This window comes from Homo sapiens, chromosome 19 (genome assembly GCF_000001405.40).
Source record: "Homo sapiens chromosome 19, GRCh38.p14 Primary Assembly".
Taxonomy (NCBI): Eukaryota; Metazoa; Chordata; class Mammalia; order Primates; family Hominidae; genus Homo; species Homo sapiens.
In genome coordinates this window covers 41,791,253-41,813,302 of record NC_000019.10, presented here as the reverse complement: position 1 = coordinate 41,813,302, position 22,050 = coordinate 41,791,253, and the positions used below count along the sequence as shown (strand labels likewise).

Below are 22,050 nucleotides of genomic sequence, written 5' to 3'. Positions count from 1 at the left end.
GGTGATCTGCCTGCCTCGGCCTCCCAAAGTGCTGGGATTACAGGTGTGAGCCACCACGCCCAGACACATCTCTTTTATTCTTAACAACTAAGCTTGTCACCGAGGAGAAGGTGGAGAGGTACTAGGGGCATGGAGAGCCCTCCGTCTCCCTCTCTCAGGACCTGGAGGGTGCTGGGACGTCACTGCAAAAACTGATGCCACAGTCAGGATAACCCTATCCAGGTGCCCATGTGTACTTTGTAGTGAACAATCATGATAAAATGGCCTTGAGAGGAGAGATGGATAGAACAAGCCCCTCTCAAAGATGCACACATCCTCATCCCAAGATCTGTGAATATGGCACATGGTCAAAGACACTTAGCAGATAAATGAAGGATGATGAGATGGGGAGATTATTGTGGTTTATCCAGGTGGGTCCAAAATAACCATACAAGTGAGACAGGGAGGCGGGGAAGTCAGTGAGGATGGAAGCAGAGCACAGAGAGGTTTCAAGATGCTGTACTGCTCGCTTTGAAGATGGAGGAAGGGGCCAAAGTTAAGGATGCAGGCGGCCTCTAGTAATTGGAAAAGGTGAGGGAACAGACTTTTCCCTGGAGCTGCCAGGAAGAACACAGCCAAGTGGACACGTTGTTGTTTTATGCCACTAAGTTAACAATGGAGTTGTCATCTCTGTTGCCTAGGCCAGCGTGCAGTGGTGTGATCAGAGCTCACTGCAGCCTCAACCTCCTGGGCTCAAGCGATCCTCCTGCCTCAGCCTCTTGAGTAAGTGGGACCAAGACACAAACCAACATGCCTGGCCTGTGGGAATTTGTCACAGCATCAACAGGAAACTGACACAAGAGACATCACCTTGTCTCATCTGACGATGTGTACAAGTGAGGTAAGGAGTCATTTAGAGCTAAATCCTGATGTAAATTTGCAGGTTGTTTTTCCTACTTCCCATCTCATGGCAAACAACCCTGGGCAGTGGCAGAATACCCTCAGGAACCGTGGCTCTGTGCTTTAGTGCAGGGACCAGCCTGATTGTGGGAAGGGGACACCTGGTCTGAGTGAACCTACATGAGATCATTACACTCCCCAGGGCCCTCAGGAGGGACAGAGAACTGCCGGCCCAGGTATGTGGTGGAGCTGCTGGTGAGGCCTGAGTGGAGGGCCCTGCAGGCCAGGGAGAAGAGGAGAGAGGTTGTCCCATTGCCATGGTAGACTGCGTGAGCTTTAGGTGAGAGAGCCCTGTGTCTCTGACCTGGAATCTCCTGTGTGGAGTGGAGGATTGTTCAGTGAGATCCACTCCAGGGGGTAAAGTGGGAACTGATGGGAAATGATGGGCTAGAGTCCCAGGTAGTGTCTGGGAGGATTTTACTCCAGGACTAAATTCTGGGTCTGTCCTCACCTTGATTACTCTGACAGGCCCTCTGTGTGTCCCCTGATATGGGTAAAGATGTCCTGAGCACTGGCCTTTTGGACAGAGAAGAAACCCAGTGGCCAGGGCTAGGCACCGTGGGTCCCTGGGGCAGTATGAGCACAGCCAAGCGCTCAGCTGGCTGGGCAGGTCTCCTGTGAATCCTGCCCTTTCCTGTGTAGGGTCCACCCCAGCCTGACTCCCAACCCCCTATTTCTGCCTCCCAGGGAAGAGAGACTGGGGTTGAAATAAGTTGGAGATGACATTTTCCTTGTGTGACCCAGGAGAGAATGGATATGGAGTTTCAGGCGAATTTTTGCTAAGTTCCCACTAGCAGAAAAACAGCTAATGAGAGGAAGGGTCCCCTTTATTCAGATCCTTTCCAAGTGACCCCAGGTGGGCCACAGGCCCATTCACTTTCCCTGCAAGCCCCCGCTTTCTGCGGTGATGAGAGGCCTTTGTCCTGACCCACCCAGGGCCTAGGGCAGGCTGTCGAGGTCTCCAGATATTCATCAGGGACCCCCATCCCTCCCTGCCCCCAGACACCAGTGTCTTCTCAGGACTTATAGCTGGTTCTCTGGCTCAGGCTTCATGTCCTTCCCCATCCCCAGGGCTGGGGGCCTTGGGGACTCTCCATCAACACACAGGAGCAGCTCCTGGAGGAAGCTAAGAAGCCACTTCTGCTTTGTGGTCCATCCGGCAGTAAATGTTTGTGTCATGTTTTAGCAATTCCTGTTAAAACAGAGAAGAGGCCTGGACCCCTCTAGTCTCCTCAGAACAGGGTGTGGCGTCTCCCAGGCTCTGGGCCCATCCAGGGCTGCTCTGGGGCTGAACCTGGCTGTGCTCAGGGGGTTCCTGCTCCCAAGCCCCTCCCTCCTCTGCTCGCCACCCCCGTTCTTATTTTCACAGCAGTTTCCTGAATCTCAGAGCTCAGCCGATGCCAGTAGGGGAAGATCCTGGGTCCCCTGGGGCCTGTGGGACCAGAACATCCGTGGCCCACACTCACCTCATAGATGGAAGCTGCTGTCCTGGGGTTGGGTAGGGGGGCCTGGGCAGTGGAGAGAGGGGACATCTGTGGACAGGGAGGGAGGGTCATGGAGGCCCAGCCTGGAAGTTTCCTGTCTCTGATTGGCCAGGATTTACTTCTCTGTGTTTACTTCTGGTCATTTCCCCTCAGGAGTGACCAGCTCTGCCCCTGAGCTCAGCCTCCCAGTGTGGACACAGCACCCTGACCCTTTTCCTGGCTGGGCCCACCCTGCACCCTTGTTAATGTGGGCCCCTGACTGATGGTCCCAGTGTCCACTCTGCACCTGCTGCACTCCAGGGGTCTCCTCAGGTGATGGAGGGTCCCGGGGAGGGGTCAGCACAGGGCGTGGGTGGTCCTGACCCTGTAGGGAGGCCCAGCTCCTGGCCAGGGCAGGGCTAGCCTTGTCCTGTGTGTTTTGGGGGAAGGTGGGTCTGTTCTGTGCTGGGGGGCTGATGGTCCCTCTGCCCAGAGCCTGCACAGCTGGGACCCCAGTAGAAAGGGGCTGGAAGGGGACAGGCTTACCGAGAAGGCAGAGCTGTGGGAGGGACCACGGCCTGGAAACAGAGACAGGAGTGAGCAGCAGGGTGGGAGGAGAGCCTTATCCCCTCTCCAGGAAGGCGTAGGGGGTCCTCAGCTCTAAGATACCTGAGCAGCTGAGGTTGGGGAGGTGACCCATGACCCAGAGCCCACAGGTGAGGGCTGACCCAAGCAATTGGGGTCCCCTGTGTGATGTTTTATGAGATCCTCCTTGCAGCCCCCGGGAAAGGATCAGAGTCTGCCTGGCAGTGACTGGCAGGAGCGGACACTGTGGGGCTGTCCTAGGGGTTCCCAGCCACACCTGGGCTGAGAGGACACTCACCAGGGGCAAGGGCTTGGGGCTGCTGCTCCTTGAGGTCACGCTGGATGCTGGTTCTAGGAAAGGTCAGGGTCATTTGGGAGGGTGCCAGGTTAAAAGCCACAACTTTGGAGTTCGAACAGGGGACAAGAAGGGAAACCCATTTTCAAGGATGGGCATGGAGACCTCCTGTCTCCCTCAGGTTTGTGTTAGGGGGAGCCCAGCAGAGGGGAGTTGAGGAAAGGCTTTAGGAACCCACATCTGTCCTGAGCAGAGGGGAAGGACCCTCAGGCAGATGCCGGGCCAGGAGAACATTGACCCAGGGACCCAGGAAAGGGACTGAGGACCCAAGGAAGGAAACAGACCACGAGGGTTTGCCTGAGAGGAAGGGTCAAGTCCCCAGAGGCAAAGCAGGGCCACGTGTGCAGGACACGGAGGGGACCGCAAGTGTCTTGGATTCTCCTGGAACTCAGTGTCCCTGCTGTGGCCAGACCCTGCACTCAGGGCTGGTGATGCTGAAATGGGACAGTGTCCTTGTCCTCTCTCTCAACCCCTTGGCAAGAGACACAAAGGACGCTCCAGGACATGCTGTTCTGAGGCCCAGGTTCTCCCATCTCACACCTCAGGGCCTATGGTTACCACATCAGCCATGGGGGGCACTGACCCCACCCAGCCTGTCCAGGCTGGTCCACTCCCCATTGTGTGACGGTGCCCAGGATCCGGAGCCTGCAAATCCCCCTCACTGTGTGGATGGATTCAATGAACAATGGGAGGTACCAAGTACAGAGCACGCCCTCCCTCCCTCCCTCCCTACTTCCCTCCCTCCTTCTCTCCCTCCCTCCAGGCAGCTGTGGCTTTGCTGTGTGAGGGAACTAGGGCCACACTCAGGGGTGGGGCCTTAATTGGGCCAAATTCACAGAGGAGGAAGCTGTTGAGGCAGCAACCCAGGGTCAGGAGCTGACGAGGGAGGAGCCGTGGAATAAGAGGGAAGGATCCCTGGGGACTTGGGAGGCCGTGGAGAGCCTGGCCCTGAATACAGGACAAGGTCTCCTTTCTTTTGGCCTGGAGTCAGCCTAGGGGGTGGGAGAAGGATGGGAAAAAGCTGTGGTACCTTCCAGTTTTGGCAAGGAGCAGGAAACACACCAGCGCGGCCACCAGCGCCACTCCGACCAGGACCCCGGTCACGATGCCGGCGACGGCCCCCACAGGAAGGCCTGGGGCATTTTCTTCTGCAGAAAGAAGAAGGCAAAGGGGATAGAGGCCCAAGTCTATCCCAGAGGAAACCACAGGGGCCTTGCAGGGAAGGTGTGCAGTCAGGGAAGAAGGAGATGCCATGGGGCCTGAGTGTAGTCTCTTGTGTTGTCCTCATCACAGATTCCCTTGCTTTCCATGGTGGCACCATTTTCTGCAGGCTTGACACACTGGGCGGCACCAACTCATACATTGTCCCAGAGGTGCCTGCACCTCACCCTGCTCCTGTGCCTTTTAGTCCCTCCTTCCTCTCGCATCATGCCTCTTCCCTCTGTTTCTCCTTTTCCATCCCATGACACTCACAAAGGGCAGGCCCTTGGCATCAACTCAATGCTGATAAGCAGGGATGATGTTCATTGACTGTTTTCAGGGGCCTTCCATGTGCCAGTTCCAGTGGGCACCAACCTACCTACAACTCATCTCATCCTTACATCACCTTGAGGGAGAGGGGGCATCACCCCCAGCTGCAGAGTTAGAATCTGAGACTTAAAGCACCTCAGTAAGTCAAGGAAGGTCACAGAACTCGTAAGTGATAAAACAAAATTTGTACAACATTCCAGGCTGGCCCCAAGGTCAGCTGTGAGAAATCAGAACAACAAGGGGAGGAGGGGTCCTGCAGAGGTGGAGTGAGAGGGCTCAGGGTAGAGTTTGGGATTTGCTTGTGTCCAAGACATGGGCTGGGAAATAAACTTCTAGGCTCTTTCAGAAAACTGAGTGGCTTTACCCAGGGCTCAGGGCCTATGCTCCAGGGATCCACTTAGCAGAGACTGTGATTGTCTTGACTGTGATTGTACTGAGGCCAGTGGCTGAGTTATGGGCGAGGCAAGCATAGGATCCACTCTTATCCACTGCGATGTTGGGGATAAAGAGCTTTTGTGTGTGTTGCTGGAGCATTCCACTGACAAACCAGGAGTACTGTGCAGGTGGGTTAGAGGCCATGTGGCAGGAGAGGTTGAGATTTGCCCCTGGATGGTAATAGGAGTCTGGGGGGGAAATGGTGGGAATGCCCGGTCCATCTGGAGTAGCGAGAATAAAGTCATAGATGATATCATCAAAGGGAAGGGGAAGCTCCTGGTCTGTGGAAGAGCCACAGTGTCCCTGTGAGCCAAGTCACAACCTTGAAGTCCTAACGAAACCCAATCTGTCCACTGAGTCTGGGTCTGAGATATTCACCTGTTTCTCCCATCACAGGCTGTGGACCCTGAGCCTCCCAGGACAGGAGCAGCCTCTCCCCTCCTATTCTTGGTCAAGGCTGGGTCTGCCCAGGTTTGCTTGGGACAGGAAGTGATGGCCAGCCTGGGTGAGAGTCTGAGTCCCTGGACTTGAGAGGGACTGAGAGGCCTGGCCTCTGGCTGTGTGGATTTGGGCTGGAAGCCTGGGCCACAGAGGAACAGAAGATACAGAGGACATTCAGCGTGACTGGGTCACTGTAGCTGGCACCCACTGGGTTCGGTATTTCACACTCATAGGGTCCTGTGTCATTCCTTGTGACACTGAGTAGAGTGAGGGTCCTCTTGTCATTGGACAGCTGCAGCCTGGAACTGACCGGGAGGCTCTGACCATTTACCCACTACAGGCAGGTTGTGCTGTGAATCTCAGGTTCACAGGTGAAGGCCACAGCATCCTTGTCCTCCTTGGGGTTGGAGTTGTTGCTGGAGATGGAGGGCTTGGGCAGCTCCGCTGTGCAGAAAACAGAGAGAAGATTGCCCTGTGTGGCACCTGTGATTCCTCCACAGGCATATTTTAATCAGAATCAACATCTCCTATTCTTTGGCCAACTCCACTCCTTAAAAGACCAAGACAAGGCCGGGTGCGGTGGCTCACGCCTGTAATCCCAGCACTTTGGGAGGCCGAGGCGGGCGTATCACGAGGTCACGAGATCGAGACCATCCTGGCTAACACGGTGAAACCCCGTCTCTACTAAAAAATACAAAAAATTAGCCAGGCATGGTGGCAGGCGCCTGTAGTCCCAGCTACTTGGGAGGCTGAGGCAGGAGAATGGTGTGAACCCGGGAGGCAGAGCTTGCAGTGAGCCGAGATCGCACCACTGCACTCCAGCCTGGGCGACAGAGTGAGACTCTGTCTCTCAAAACAAACAAGCAAACAAACAAACAAACACACAAACAAAAAAAGACGAAGACAGATGTGTGTGTCACAGACAGATGCATGACCGTCTGAGGGCTCAGAGACTGTGAGGCTGCCTGCCTGTGAAAGAAGAAGAGACTTTCTCAACTGTGAATTAAGCAGCAGCATTGGGTGTTGGACAGACACAGGACCAGGAGTCACATCCCCTGGCACCTCTCCTGTTCCTTCCCTGATGGCTGACTGCCTGGCTGACCTTGGGGTCCTCACCTGGAACATGCTGGTGCTGAGGTCTCAGAATTACAAGGTGAGGTTATTCTTTCCAGGTATATCATGGTGACTGACATGAGACAGTGAGTCAGTAAAAGGTATAGTAGAAGGCCGGGTGCGGTGGCTCACACCTGTAATCCCAGCACTTGGGGAGGCCGAGGTGGGCAGATCACCTGAGGTCAGGAGTTCGAGACCAGCCTGACCAACATGGCGAAAAACCCAGTCTCTACTAAAAATACAAAAATTAGCTGGGTGTGGTGGAGCATGCCTGTAATTCCAGCTACTCGGGAGGCTGAGGAAGGAGAATCACTTGAACCTGGGAGGCAGAGGTTGTAGTGAGCCGAGATTACACGACTGCACTCCAGCCTGAGTGACAGAGCAAGACTCCGTAACAACAACAAACAACAAACAACAACAACAACAACAACAACAAACAACAACAACAGGAAGAGTAGAATCCCAACTTAGAAAGAGGGCGGGGACATGCAGGAGCTGGTGGCTTTGGAGCAGAACCATGTTCTCTGTCCTCAGTCCTTAATGTGTTTTCTCCTCCTGCAGAGGGCAGGTGAGGACTCCGTGGAACTTAATAAGAAATACATATGAACGTTTGCAAATGCAGAACTGACTGGTGGAAAGAGGGAGCATGAAGCTGCTGGCAATCTGGTCCTCATGGACTCTGTGTTTGATGGATATGAGAGAGACATTTGGGAAGAATCTTTGCAAATATTTTCTCCCATTGGAGATTATGTTAAGTGAAAGAAGTCAGTCGTACAAGGACAACTACTGTACGGTTCCACGAATACGAGGTCCCTAGAGTAGTCAAACTCATGGAATCAGAGAGTAGAATGCAGACCGGGTGCGGTGGCTCATGCCTGTAATCCCAGCCTTTTGGGATGCTGAGGCGGGCGGATCACCTGAGGTCGGGAGTTCCAGACCAGCCTGGCCAACATGGTGAAACCCCGTCTCTACTAAAAATACAAAAATTAGCCAGGTGTGGTGGCACATGCCTGTAATCCCAGCTACTTAAGAAGGCTAGGGAGAATTGCTTGAACCTGGGAGGCGGAGGTTGCAGTGAGCCAAGATCACACCATTGCACTCCAGCCTGGGTGACAAGAGTAAAACTCTATCTAAAAAAAAAAAAAAAAAAAAAAAAGAAGAAAAAAGAATAAAAGAGCAGAGTGGTGATTTCCAAGGGCTGGCAGGGAGTTGTTCCTTGGGTGTGCAGTTTCAATTATGCAAAATATGGAGGTTCTAGAGATCTGCTGTACAGCTTGGTGTCTATAATTAATAGAGTTTGAGTATCTCTTATGCATAAGAGCAAAAGTGTTTTGGATTTCTAATTATTTTTTATTTTGGAATATTTGTATTACAAGTATCGGTTTAGCATCCCAAATCTGAAAATCTAAAATTTCAAAATGCTCCAGTGAGCATTTCCTTTGAACATCATGCCAGTGGTCAAAAAATTTTGGATATTGGCACATTTTGTATTTTGGATTTTTGGATTTGGGATTCTCCATCTGTAATAGTCCATTTTGCCCTTAAAAATTTGTCAGGAGTTTAGACAAAGGAGTTATGATCTCACTATAGTGAAAAAAAAAAAAGAAATTTGGGGGAAATTAATTTTTTTTCTATCAGTGGAAATTATTATTAATGGTCGAAAGGTCTGAGGTCAATTGGTTGCTGTAGCATTTCTCTTGATAACATAATAAGGTTTAGGTCTGCTAAATGCTGAAGACCAGCATAATCATGTTAAGCTCAAAGAAAGATGCTGACTTTGGTTTGAAATCAGTGACTCTCTGGGTAGAGAGAGAATTGTGAGTCCTGTTAGGAAGACAGAACTGGTCAGAGGGAAAGTCTGAGATGTCTCAATAATACACAGAAAAGAAAAATACCAAATTAGGAGATGTGATGTGTGTATGTCAGTAAATGTCAAAAGAGCCCTCACCTCAATTTCCTGTGCAGAGTTAGGCAAAATAGGAAGGGGCCTAAACAGGCATATGAAACACCTTCCTCCTTTTCTTTACGCCTCAGGAAACACAACTAGAATTTGATTAAATTAGCCCGAATTGGGCAGAGTCTAAGTGAGATGCCGGTGGCTGGTGCATCTCCCCACCCGAAGACCCCATCTTATGATAATGGCATCATCATGAGGGACACATGTGTGTGGAACAAGCAGTGGGCCCATCAGACAGCACAGGGCTGGCCAGCTCCACCTGGTCCCAGGAACCACCAGTATTCCCATTACATGTATGTTACAGCTTTTAGAAAATATAAAATATGCCATTGTCAATACAAAATCTTGAATGTGAAGTTGAATCTGCTTTTCCACTTTTTTTACCCACTCTTTTTTTTTTTTTGAGGCAGAGTTTTGCTCTTGTTGCCCAGGCTGGAGTGAAATCGCGCTATCTTGGCTCACTACAATCTCTACCTCCCAGGTTCAAGCAATTCTCTTGCCTCAGCCTCCTGAGTAGCTGGGATTATAGGCATCTGTCATCATGCCTGGCTAATTTTTTGTATTTTTAGTAGAGACAGGGTATCATCATGTTGGCCAGGCTGGTCTCGAACTCCTGACCTCAGGTGATCCACCCGCCTCAGCCTCCCAAAGTGCAGGGATTACAAGCATGAACAACCACGCCCGGCCTTTTCCCACTCTTTTAAAGCTTTGCTGTTTCAGGCCGGGCATGGTGGCTCATGCCTGTAATCCCAGCACTTTTGGAGGCCAAGGCGGGCAGATCATGAGGTTGGGAGGTCGAGACCATCCTGGATAACACGGTGAAACTCCGTCTCTACTAAAAATACAAAAAATTAGCCGGGCATGGTGGCGGGCGCCTGTGGTCCCAGCTATTTGGGAGGCTGAGGCAGGAGAATGGCGTGAACCCAGGAGGCAGAGCTTGCAGTGAGCTGAGATAGCATCACTTCACTCCAGCCTGGGGTACAGAGCGAGACTCTGTCTCAAAAAAAAAAAAAACAAACAAAACAACACACACACACACACACACACACACACACACATACACACACAAAACTTTGCTGTTCAGTTTTGGAAGTTTCTACTGACACACCCTCAAGCTAGAGATTCTTTCCTCAGCTGTGTCCAGGCTACCAGTAAGCCCATTGAGGGCATTCTTCATTTACCTTACAGGAGGGTTTCTTTTTTTATCTCTAGCATTTCTTTTGGTTCTGTCTTAGAATATCGATCTCTCTGCTTACATCACCCATCTGTTCCTGCATGGGGTCTACTTTTTCCATCATAACCTTTACTGTATTAACCAGAGTTGTTTTAAATTCCCGTTCTGCTAATTTCAACATCCCTGCCACATCTGAGTCTGGTTCTGATTGTTGTTCTGAGTTTCAAATTGCATTTTTTTTTGTTTTTGCCTTAGTCTGTCTTGTGCAGTTTTGTTGAAAGCCAGACATGATATTCTGGGTAAAAGGAACTTGGGTGAGCAGGTGTTCAGTGACGCTGTGGTGAGTGTTGGGAGGGAAGGGTTCTGTGGTCCTGGATGAGGTCTGCAGCCTGGGCTGTGAACTTCATAAGTGACTCTCTGTATTTTTGCCCCCTTAGGTGGGACATGATGGCTACAGGGGGCTGGAGTTGGACATTTACCCACTGCCAGGCCAGTTAGGCTCCCATAAAACCCCAGCAGGTCAGGCTCTGGTAAAAGTTTCTCTTAAAGGCAGCTGTTGCTAAGAAGAATAGAATTCACGGAGATCTTTCCAAATAATTCCTTTCCCCCTCCCGCTTCAGGAAGGAGGAGGGGATCTTTGTTGCCTATTCACTATGAGAATCTGGTAGCTCTAGGAGTTAAGACTCACAAAAGAGTCCCTCCTTGTCCCAGCCCCAAGATTGATCCCTCCCCTGGAGTGTTTAGTTTAACTCTGGGGCATGTCCATGCTGAGCCTCCAGCAATTTGTCAGTTACAGTTCAGATTTCTGACCCCAGCGCTGGTTCTGCAGGGTTTCTGTCCCTGGGCTTCTGCCCAGGTGAGGTGTGCTGCTCCATCTTTGCCTGTCGGTCTCTCCAATATGCGGGGCAATTAACACCGAGGCCTAGCTTCTCTGAGGGATCTAAAAGAGTTGTTGATTTTTCAGTTTGTTCAGTTTTATACTTGTTATAACTGAGTGACAGATTTCAAGCTTCTTACATGCCAAATTGGACACCAGAAGTCTCTAGGGAATGACTGGAGGATGGGAGCCCCATAGCTGAATGAGGGTGGAGTCGGGAGGGAAATGGGTGAAATGAGCCATGAGCTTTGGGGACTGCAGACCTCTCCTCTTGCCTCTGACCCCTGGTGAGTCATTGTAGAGAGTGAAACCACTTTTGCAAGGATTAAGATGGCGAGAGTAAGCTAGCATGGCTGACTTCATCTGGCTTCTAGCCTCAAGGTGGCTGTCCTTGCTCATTCCTGGGCACAAGCCAGGCTAACCATGGGAAAAATTCAGTGTATAGTTTAACTTTGAAGCAAGGATGATTATAGTCCCTCCCTAAAACTAACTTCCTCTTTGTCAGGGATTGCCTTTGTAAACTAATGAAACATTACGAGATCAGCATTATGGGAGGGTCACAAGATTTGTGACTTCCCTAATTGCTCCCATAGATAATATCACTATTGTAGAACCTGAGATTGGTCTTTTGAGATGTTTCTCAGACTTCTGCATTCTGGCAACTGACTGACTCCACCTGGACTGTGACCCATGATTCAGTGGTCTTGTGGCCCCCACTCAGAGGCAGTTTCAGCACACCAGGATCAGTTGCCACATCCCTATGATTTTATCCCCAACCAATCAGCTTTCCCCATTCCCTAGTCCCCTGCCATCAAACTATCCATGAAAAACTCTAATCTCAAGCCTCCAGGGAGGCTGATTTAAGTAATAATAAACTCTTGTCTTACTGTTTGGCTTACTTAGCATTAATTAAACTCTTTCTTGACTGCAATATCGTGGTCTCAGTGAATTGGTTTTGTCTGTGCAGTGGCAGGAAAAACCTGCTGGGAAATTACAAGAGTAGGTGGAGGAGTCGCTCGTCCCTGTCCTGTGGCCTTTTCCACATGTTGGCCTCAAGAAGGGAAAGAGCCCTGGGTGGGGACACAGTGGAAGCTCGTTCTCCTGGTGGCCTGGGGACACTGGCTCATGATGAAGCCTGGCAGGGGCTCTGATCCAGCTGATTTCTGTGCCTTTTTTTATTGCCCCGGAGGTGGGCCAGGCCACAGTGTGAGTGGGAAGGGAACAGAACAGCCAGTCTTGTTAGAGGGAGTTCCTGGGGAAGACCTAAGGGTGGAGGAAGCTGTGCAGGGCAGGGGCATCCTCACTGGTGTGAAAGGGGAGGAAGATAAGGGACAAGGGGTAGCAGAGATAGCCAGAGATTACATCACAGTGAGCTGTGGGGACTACAGTGACCTCAGAGACCCTAGGGACCAGGAGACCCCTGGTTATTCTAGAACCAGTGTAGGGACCAGCCCCACAGGGTCGGTGGGTCTCTCCCCATGTGCGGAGACGAGAGAGTGTAGAAATGAAGACACAAGATAAAGAGATAAAAGAACAGACAGCTGGGCCCCGGGGGGATCACTACCACCAATGCGCGGAGACTGGTAGTGGCCCCGAATGTCTGACTGCGCTGTTATTTATTGGATACAAAGCAAAAGGGGGAGGGTAAAGAGTGTGAGTCATCTCCAATGATAGGTAAGGTCACGTGGGTCATGTGTCCACTGGACAGGGGGCCCTTCCCTGCCTGGCAGATGAGGCAGAGAGAGAGAGGAGACAAAGAGAAAGACAGCTTATGCCATTATTTCTGCATATCAGAGACTTTTAGTACTTTCACTAATTTACTACTGCTATCTAGAAGGCAGAGCCAGGCGTACAGGATGGAACGTGAAGGCGGACTAGGAGCGTGACCACTGAAGCACAGCATCATAGGGAGACGGTTAGGCCTCCGGATAACTGCGAGTGGACCTGACTGGTGTCTGGCCCTCCACAAGAGGTGGAGGAGCAAAGTCTTCTCTAAACTCTCCCGGGGAAAGGGAGACTCCCTTTCCCGGTCTGCCAAGTAGCGGGTGTTTTCCCTTGACACTTACGCTACCGCTAGACCTCGGTCTGCCTGGCAACGGGCGTCTTCCCAGGCGCTAGTGTCACCGCTAGACCAAGGAGCCCTTCTGGTGGCCCTGTCTGGGCATAACAGAAGGCTCGCACTCTTGTCTTCTGGTCACTTCTCACTATGTCTCCCCAGCTCCTATCTCTGTATGGCCTGGCTTTTCCTAGGTTGTGATTATAGAGCGAGGATTATTATAATACTGGAATAAAGAGTAATTGCTACCAACTAATGATTAATGATATTCACATATAATCATATCTAAGATCTATATCTGGTATAACTTTTCTTGTTTTATATTTTATTATACTGGAACAGCTCGTGTCCTTGGTCTCTTGCCTCGGCGCCTGGGTGACCTGCCGCCCACAAACCAGGACCAGGGAGACCTGAAAACCTTCCCACAGGTGAGCTGTGCCAGAGTCCCATGAGATGCGGTTCTTGGGGTAGCTTTAGGGGCAGGGGTTAGAGGAATGCAACAAGGATCCCGGCCCCTGGAGGGACAGGAAACAGGTGTGGCCAGAACCTTATAGGATTCTGCATCCAAGATCCGGTCTCTGAAGAGTTTAAGAATTATTCATCATTCATTCCTTCCCTCCTTCGTCAGAGAACTACTGAGTGTGTGTCTCTCACTGGGCCCTGCGCTGGTGCAGGGTGTGAGTGGGGAGTGTTTTATCCTCCTGTGGGAGTGTCACTGACACATCAGGAAACACAGGATTTCAGGTCGAGTGAGGGCAGTGGTGCGCATCTGAGAGGGAGGCCCGGACATTCCTGGCACTGACTCTGTTGACACAAGGGATTTAGTTCTAGGTTAGGCTAATGTGTTAGGCTATTTTTTGTTACTATAAGGAAATGTCTGAGGCTGGGTAATTTATAAAGAAAAGAGATTTAATTGATGCAGGGATCTGCAGGCTATACAGGCATGGCACCAGCGTCTGCTCGGCTTCTGGTGAGACCCAGCAAGCTTACAATCATGGTGGAAGGAGAAGGGGGAGCAGGTGGTGTCATGTGGCAAAAGCAGGAGCAAGAGAGAGTGTGGAGGCGCCACACACTTTTAAAGAACCAGATCTCCTGTGCACTCAAAGTGAGAACTGACTTGTCACCAAGGGGATGGTGCTGAGCCACTCATGAGAAACAGCCCCCCATGATCCAATCGCCTCCCACCAGGCCTCACCTCCAATGTTGGGGATCACATTTCAACATGAGATTTGGAGAGGATAAACATCCAAACTATATCAGGAAAAATTGATTAATTTTCCATTTGCCCCTTACTCTCCAGACCAAAATCTCCCCCTCTGAGATGTGGATGCCCAAGAAAAAGGAAAGAGAACTTAGGACTGGTCTCAGGCCTGCAGATGTCTAATAATAACGCCAGCCGTCCCCTGGTGGAGAAGAGGCAGCTGTGGCTGCAGAGAGACCTCGTGTGACTCTAATCTGACACCTTTGACTTGTGTGACCCTAGTCGGTGACTGTCTCCCTGTTCCTCAATTTTTTTTTTCAATAAGTAGGATAAGTGCTATTTGGCTGTGACGTTGTTTGTGAATTAATCTCAAAATATTTACAATTACTTGACCTCAGCTGTGTATAGAGGAGCTGCCCAAAGGAACAGCATCTATGCTTATTTGCCTCCAAAAGAGAGGTCCCTGAGTCTGATCCCTTGTGGAAAAGGAGCTGCTGGGAGCATCTTCTCTCTTCTTTTTCCTCCCCCTGGGGATACTGAACTTCCCATGGAGTCATCTAAGTTCCCCTGGGCAGTGGGCTCATGCCCTAGTAATCTTGTCCATCTGTTCACTCCATGCTGAGTCTCAGGTAAAGGATGAGGCCCTGTCCTTGCCCAGGAGAGGTTCTTGGGGCTGGACCCTGGCTGGTGACCAACTCCAGGAGCCACGACCCTCAGACAGCTGGTAAATTCTTGCTCCCAGTCAGCCCTGCCCAGGAGGCCTCACTCAGCCCTGGCACAGGATCCCTAGGGTCCCCAGGGTCACCTGGAGTCAGGAATCTGGGACAGGGATTTGCACAGGGGCTCAGTTCTGGGAAGAGTTGAGCTTCTCTCTGAGAATCCTAGGGGGACCCCTCAGGCCAGGCCCTGATCCAGTTCTCCAGGGTCTTTCTTAGGGTCAGGTCCATGGGGAGACCATGGGGTTCTTTTCTGACACTGACCTTGCCCTGCTGAGTCCCCCCATCAGACTGTCCTTCCTCTGCAGCGAGTGTCTGCAGGGTCTGGATGCAGGAAAGGAATTCTGATCTGTGGAAGTTTGTCTCCCCCGTGTGTGTCCTGCACTAAATGTCCAAACCCTGATACAGAATGTAATGCAGAGAGGGCCACAGGCACAGCCCAGGCCTGACAATCCCATATGTGGGAAGTAGAACTGACCCCCAACACCCAGAGGTCATGTGGAAATACTCACGGTATACATGGAACTGTCCAGTTGCTTCTTCATTCACAAGATCTGACTTTATGACTTGTAGGGTGTAGAATCCTATGTCATTCTGGGTGACATTCTGGATCAGCAGGGATGCATTGGTGTATATTGTCTCTCGACCGCTGTATGCGGCCCCTGGGGTAGCTTGTTGAGTTCCTATTACATATCCTACAATTAGACTGTTGCCATCCACTCTTTCCCCTTTGTACCAGCTGTAGCCAAAAAGATGCTGGGGCAGATTGTGGACAAGTAGAAGCACCTCCTTCCCCTCTGCGACACTGAGCGGCATGGATTCAATAGTGAGCTTGGCAGTGGTGGGCGGGTTCCAGAAGTTTAGAAGTGAGGCTAGGAGGGAGAAAGCATCAGTCAATATTGGGACCCATGTATTGGGATGGAAAGATGGGGCCCTGGGTCCTGAGAGAGTCTCTTCACCCTTCAGCCTTGGAGAGTGTATGTGTGTCCCACTTGGTCAAGGTCAGTAACGTGACCTTTCTTTCTTCAGCACCTCTAACCTTGGCATTTTCCTGTGTGGAATCCCCTTCCCCAGGGGTCTGCATGGCTCCCTCCCCACTGCCCTCAGATCCTGCTCACATCAGGGCATCCTTGGGAGATCCCTCCCCTGACACCTCCTCTAGAGACCCTGGGTCTTCCCTTTCTGACCTTTTTCTGCTCTGTTCCCTCCAGGGCTCTTGTCAACACCTGAACTCACATTCTAGATCTCTTTGGGTGTCTATCTTCATCTCTGCAAGAGTGTAAGCTCTTTGAACACAGAGACTTGTCTGATATTTGTTGTACGCCAGTGCCTAAAATTTGATTGCAAATACTGGTGGATGAGTTAAGGAGTGGTGGTTATTTTGCAACTTGTGGTTGGTGGTCAAAGACAGGTTTTAGTGCCCTGGTTATATTTTTATTTAAAGTATCACCCTGATGTAATTCTTATTCTTATCATTTTCTAATTGTAGTGGCCAGTAATGATTAACTTGGAAAACATGATCAATGGATTTTCCTCCCTCTTATCAATCCCAGTTCAATGTGATTGTCTTGTTGTGACCCGTGTCCCTCTCTGATGTTCTCTCCCCTGAGGCTTCAGCAGAAGCCTTCTGTCCCCTATCAGAGCCCCATCCTCCCCAGGAGACCCCAGCCATTCTCTGTGATCCCTCCTCTTGCCCACTCCCAGGAATCCTCCACTCACCTGTGAGCAGAAGCCCCTGCCAGGGGATGCATTCTCTGTGGGGAGAGGCTGAGGGGGGCCCCATGGTCTCTGCTGCCTGCTCTTTCCTCCTCTGTGGAAAAGAGCCTGGGCTCCAGGAATGCTGTAGTCAGGGCTACTGTGACTTAGGCTCTGCTGTCCTTCCTCTTTCCATGCTGAGCCTCCTCCCAGGGCAGGAGCACTTTCCAGGGTCATGGGTGAAGCTCTGCCCAGGTCACCTCTCTGTCCCCTCCCCTCTCAGTTTTGCCTCATTTTCTCTTCTTCCTTTCTCCCTTCTGTCTACATTTGAGTTCCCCAGACCAGGCTCTGAGAAGCAAGGCTTACTTGGATCCCTGTTTCATAACAGGATGACCCTCCCTCCCCAGCGTGGACCTCTGCTCTGCCTTGGCCTTGGGTCTGTCAGCACCATGCAGAGTCCCTGGGGTCCCTGAACCTGGTGTTATTTTCTCTGTGACGGAGAAACTCCTTTGTGTGTGCAGGGTCTTCTTACTGTTCTCACATGTCTGGGAAGGTTGGATTTACTCCCAGCAAGGAGGTCACAGAGATGTCTGGGGTCCTACAAATGGATATATCTAGGGCTAAAGCCCGGATCTAAGATTCTGAGCTGTTCTTTCTGCAGCATTATGTGACTCTAATTTCCTGGGAGTAACTGAGAATGAGGCTTCACAGTGCTGTAGCTTTATGTCATCCAGACACCAGACATTTCTAGGCTGACTTTATGATTTTCTCTCTAGCTTGTACCACCTTTATTATTATATATTTCATCCTTTTTTCTAAATAAATTTAGTTTACAAAACATCCTGTCCTAGCAGGGATCGGTGGCTCAGATCTGTGATCCCAGCTACTCGAGAGGCTATGGTGGGAGGATGGCTTGAGGCCAGGAGTTGGAGACAAAACATCCTTGTCTTATGCAATATTGTCCATGAAATTACAGATTTGATGTGTGCTTAAATGTTTTCTCAATGTATATTAAAATAAACGCATAAGTATTAAAGTTTTTAAAAAGCTTACTTACGTTTCGCCTAAAATCAGTTTTTGGAAATGCTGACACAGTGGCATAAACATGAACTTTATGTCCAGATGTACCTGGGGACAGCTAATGGTTCTGTCACTTAACTATGTTGACTTGGACAAGTCACGTGGCTTCTATGATCCTTGATTCCCTGATTTGTAAAAGGAGGATGGTAAAATCCTCCTTGCAGAGTTGTTGGGAATAAGTGAGCTGCTGTGGGAGCCCCGTGCCCAGGCGGGTGTTGAGTACATGGTGGTTGTCATCGTGGTTATTGCTGTGGAATTCTGGTTTTCAAAGAGTGTCTACGCCGGAATATTGGGCTTGTGGCTTTCTGCTGATGTGGATGTGTGAAAAAGCTACTTTTGCTTGTTAGAACTTGTGGTGCATCTGTCATTATTTTCATTTCCCAGTTCCACTACCTATTTTCTCTGTGATGTTGGTCAAGTTGCCTAACTTTTCTGTGCCTCATTTACCTAATTTGTGAAATGTGGGTAACAGTACACTAGTGTGGGTGTGTTATTTCCCAGCTCTGACCACTAGAGGGCATAGAAGCACCGGCACCTACTAGCAATGGGCATATGGGCGCCCATGGTCTGTAAACATCATTCTCCCATGAAAGGAACCAGGGTTCCCTGGAGAAATGGCTGATTCCAGGGCTGGGGCAGGAAACCACAAGAGGAGACTGGAGCATCTTGCGGGGCCTGAGAGTAAGGCACAACTTGAAAAATGATGGGGATGTGTGGAAAGTATCACAAATGCCAACTAGAAGAAGCTCCCAATGGCCAATTTGGGGACAATATAGCAACATAATCAATAATAATAGTAATGTAGTCCAACCGATAAATACTTGAGAGTCCATGCTGATATATATATAAATAAGTGAATACATAAATAAATGAGAAAGAAGAACTAGCTCTTTCTTACAGCAGCGTTCCAGTTAATCAGTGTAGAAGCAATGATGGAAGCAGAAAATCACTGGCTAACACCACAGTAAGAATTGTTTATCGGCTACAATTATCTCTGGATTCTAGAAATTAATTGGTAAAAGTATGCTAAGAACAAACTGGCTATTTGCATATTTCCAAAGTACCTGTCCACAAGATACTTATTAATTACAATGAGATGAATAGTAACTTCACAGTAGAGAAACCTGGCAGACACCACCTGAACCAAGCGCTTAAAGTGAACCTCATCGGTAATGAGAGATATAGACATCCTGGGGCTCCGGCTGGGATGTCCTGAGAAAGACACATCGCTTCTGTGCTAATCTTGCCCAAAATGCATAACCTGAAACATCCCAAGGAAACATGAGACAAACCCAAATTGAGGGGCATTCTACAAAACAACTGACCAGACCTCCTCAAAAGCATCAAGGTCCTGAGAGAGGGAAAGAGTGGGAAACTCCCCCAGGTTGGAGGAGGCCTAGGAAATGTGACAGTGTTATTCAGTGTGGGATCCTGGGTTGGACTCTGGAGCAGAAAAAAGACATGACTGGGATGATTAGCAAAATTTTAATATTTCTTTTTTTTTTTTTTGGAGACAGAGTCTCACTCTGTCGCCAAGGCTGGAGTGCAGTGGCTCGATCTGGGCTCACTGCAACCCCCACCTCCTGAGTTCAAGAGATTCTCCTGCTTCAGCCTCCCGAGTAGCTGGGATTACAGGTACCTGCCACCACGCCTGGCTAATTTTTGTATTTTTAGTAGAGACGGGGTTTCATCGTGTTAGCCAGGATGGTCTCGATCTCCTCACCTCGTGATCTACCCTCCTTGGCCTCCCAAAGTACTGGGATTAAAGGCGTGAGCCACCGTGCCCGGCCCCATATTTCTATATTTTAAAATTTTTTGTATCAATGCTAGGTGACTGATTTTGATAATTGCTTTAGAGTTAAGGTTATTTGAAAAAGCTGGATGAAGGATATACTGGAACTCTGACTATTTTTACAATATTTTTGAAAGTCTGAAAAATGAAAAGTAAAAAAATGTAAAATGCATAAGATTTCTGTGAGGATAAAATGAGATAAATGTGAAGTGCTTAGAACAATGCCTGAGACACAGGAGTTCTTAAAACATGTCAGCTATTATTATAAGTAATTTTATGATTAACAAGTAATATTATAAGTAATGAGTCATCTATTATAAATCATATAAAATATGATTTCTTTCATAATATCCTCATATATTCTCATCCATTTCTTTTTTCCCTCTCCCCTGTGAAAAGCATATTGAGCATGTATGTCATGAAAAGATAAAATAAGATTCGATTTTATTTTGAGAATTATTTTGGGGGATGAGGAGGAGTGTCATTTCCTCCAGCTACGAAGTAGCTCAGACTCAGGCCCACATTGCAAAGTTTGCTTGGCTGGGAAACAAAGCTGGAGCCTGGCGGCCACCCACCGACGTGGTTTATGATGGCGCCTCCTGGCGGCGCAGAGAACTTTCCGCAGTTCCTCACCCTCGTGCTTTAGGAGCGACTTAGAAATTCTACACAGTCCATTTATTAAACCCTTTCTAGGTCACGCTGCGGATCATTTAATCTTCACAACAAGATTGTGAGAAGGGATATTTATTCATCTTAAGACGATAAAACAGGGTAAAAAAAAGTGAAGCGACTTGTCAGGGTTGCAAAGGGAGTGACAGAGCTAGGATTTGGATCTAGGTCCCCCTGACTTCCAGGCTGAGTGTAAATGTTCAGGTGAGTCTGAATGTGTGGCCAGGTGGAGAACTATTGGTATAGAGTAGTGGTTGTGGACTGAGGGTGGTTTCCGCCCAGGGGACATTTGGCAATGTTTGGAGACATTTTTGGTTTTCATACCGGGGTGGGGACGGGAGAGAGGGAAGGCTGCTATTGGCATCTAGTGGAAAGAGGCCACGTGGATGCTGCTGAGCGTCTCACAATGCACAGAACAGCCCCCACCGCAAGGAACTGTTCATCCCCAATGTCAATAGAACTGCTATGAAGCCCTTGTCTGACTTAAAAACCTGAGGATGCATTCTTGTGGTGAGCTAATGTTTGCCAAGTGCTGAGCTGGATAGCGTGAGGGATATGGAAACAGTGCACCAGTCTGTGCGGCCAAGGAGTTTGAAATTTAGAAGGGCAGGGGGTGGAGGCAGGAGAGGCATATGAAGGCCTTCAATATAAGGCAGCAGATGATAAGTGCAACAAGACAGTGTCCAGTAGGGCTAAGCAGGCTCTCAGGAGGCAGAGCACTCATCTACGTGTGGGAAGAACTGAGCACTTGTCTGGCCTGTGGAAATGTGGTTTTGAGCTGGGCATGTGAGCAAAGTTGAGCTGATGGGAAAACACAAGCCCCGTTCAGGGAAGGGCAAACAGGCTAGTTTGAGTGGAGAGAAATTTTTAGTGAGTAGAAGGGTTTGCACTGGAAAAAGAGGTTGGGGTTAGAGCTTTGAGTGCAGGCAGAGGACTCCAGCCTGGGTGTCTGTCATAGTAATGGAAAAGTCTTCCCTTTTGGAATAGTGGTCTAGGCCCTAGGGCTATGGGGCTCAGTGGCTTCCAGAGTGCTCTCTCTACAAAGGAGGGGATGTTGGAAATTGGGGTGGAGAAGGGTGAATGTCTCCTGATTTTAGGACCAAATTGATGCTGAGTATGTAAAAAAGCCATTTCACCTCAAAGTGGCCCTTGGAAAGATGATGCTCCCAAGTGGAAATATACATGGGGTGAGCTCTCTCTCTTTCTCTCTCTCTCTGAGATGGAGTCTTGCTCTGTTGCCCAGGCTGAAGTGCAGTGGCGCGCGATCTTGGCTCACTGCAACCTCTGCCTCATGGGTTCAAGCTGTTCTCCTGACTCAGCCTCCCATGTAGCTGGGACTACAGGCATATGCCACCATGCTCGGCTAATTTTTTTGTATTTTTAGTAGAGACGTGGTTTCACCATGTTAATCAGCTAGTCCTGAGTTGCTGACCTCAAATCATCTGCCCGCCTTGGCCTCCCAAAGTGCTGGGATTACAGGTGTGAGCCACTGCACCTGGTGGGGTGAGCTCTCTTCTAGGTGGTTTCTTTGCAAAGGTCTGGGCCACTTTGCTTGTAGTGAAAACTGGAGTAAACTCAAAACCTTTAACCAAAGGTCTGCTTCCCAAAGGGTGCGTTGTTGCAGCAGGGCTTGGTGTGACTAAAGCTTCAAAGTTGGACACTATCTGGTGATAGGATTTTCTTCAGTTTATTACATTACCATTAAATAGCATTAAAATGTGTGCATACTTGGTACACTCTAAAGAATACAAGTGGGCCAGGTGCGGTGGCTCACGCCTGTAATCCCAGCTGGGAGGCCGAGGCAGGTGGATCACAAAGTCAGGAGTTCGAGACCAGCCTGACCAACATGGCGAAACCCCGTCTCTACTAAAAATACAAAAATTAGCTGGGCATGGTGGTGTGCACCTGTAATCCCAGCTACTCAGGAGGCTGAGGCAGGAGAATCGCTTGAACCCGGGAGGCGGAGGTTGTA

General features: G+C 49.6%; 1 protein-coding gene and 1 pseudogene across 3 annotated transcripts; both read right to left on the bottom strand.

The window, feature by feature from the left end:
• Positions 1–1,748: 1,748 nt before the first annotated feature.
• Positions 1,749–16,716, bottom strand: CEACAM3 (CEA cell adhesion molecule 3). Of its 3 annotated transcripts, NR_102333.3 has the most exons (8): positions 16,562–16,716; positions 15,355–15,714; positions 5,686–6,192; positions 4,373–4,487; positions 3,286–3,338; positions 2,949–2,980; positions 2,406–2,471; positions 1,749–2,131 (listed from the first exon to the last, which is right to left on the bottom strand). NR_102333.3 is itself a non-coding variant. In NM_001815.5 (7 exons), the coding sequence occupies exons 1-7, from the start codon at positions 16,623–16,625 to the stop codon at positions 2,066–2,068; spliced, it is 759 nt and encodes a 252-aa protein (NP_001806.2). In that variant the 5' UTR covers positions 16,626–16,716; the 3' UTR covers positions 1,749–2,065. The 3 variants fall into 3 exon arrangements, 2 of the variants coding, with proteins under 2 accessions (NP_001806.2, NP_001264092.1); NM_001815.5 differs by lacking the exon at positions 5,686–6,192 and having other exon boundaries at positions 4,373–4,490; NM_001277163.3 differs by lacking the exons at positions 3,286–3,338; positions 5,686–6,192 and having other exon boundaries at positions 1,749–2,079; positions 4,373–4,490.
• On the bottom strand, positions 5,270–6,192 carry LOC100422623 (CEA cell adhesion molecule 1 pseudogene; annotated as a pseudogene).
• Positions 16,717–22,050: the final 5,334 nt, after the last annotated feature.

Bases quoted from the DNA above. Each gene is read 5' to 3' on its own strand.
- CEACAM3 (NM_001815.5), bottom strand. From the start codon at position 16,625: ATGGGGCCCCCCTCAGCCTCTCCCCACAGAGAATGCATCCCCTGGCAG. The intron at 3,339-4,372 runs GTACCACAGCTT...GACCTTTCCTAG, and splicing joins CTCCTTGCCAAAACTGGAAG to AACCAGCATCCAGCGTGACC. The intron at 2,132-2,405 runs GTGAGTGTGGGC...CTGTTTTAACAG, and splicing joins CAGCAGCTTCCATCTATGAG to GAATTGCTAAAACATGACAC.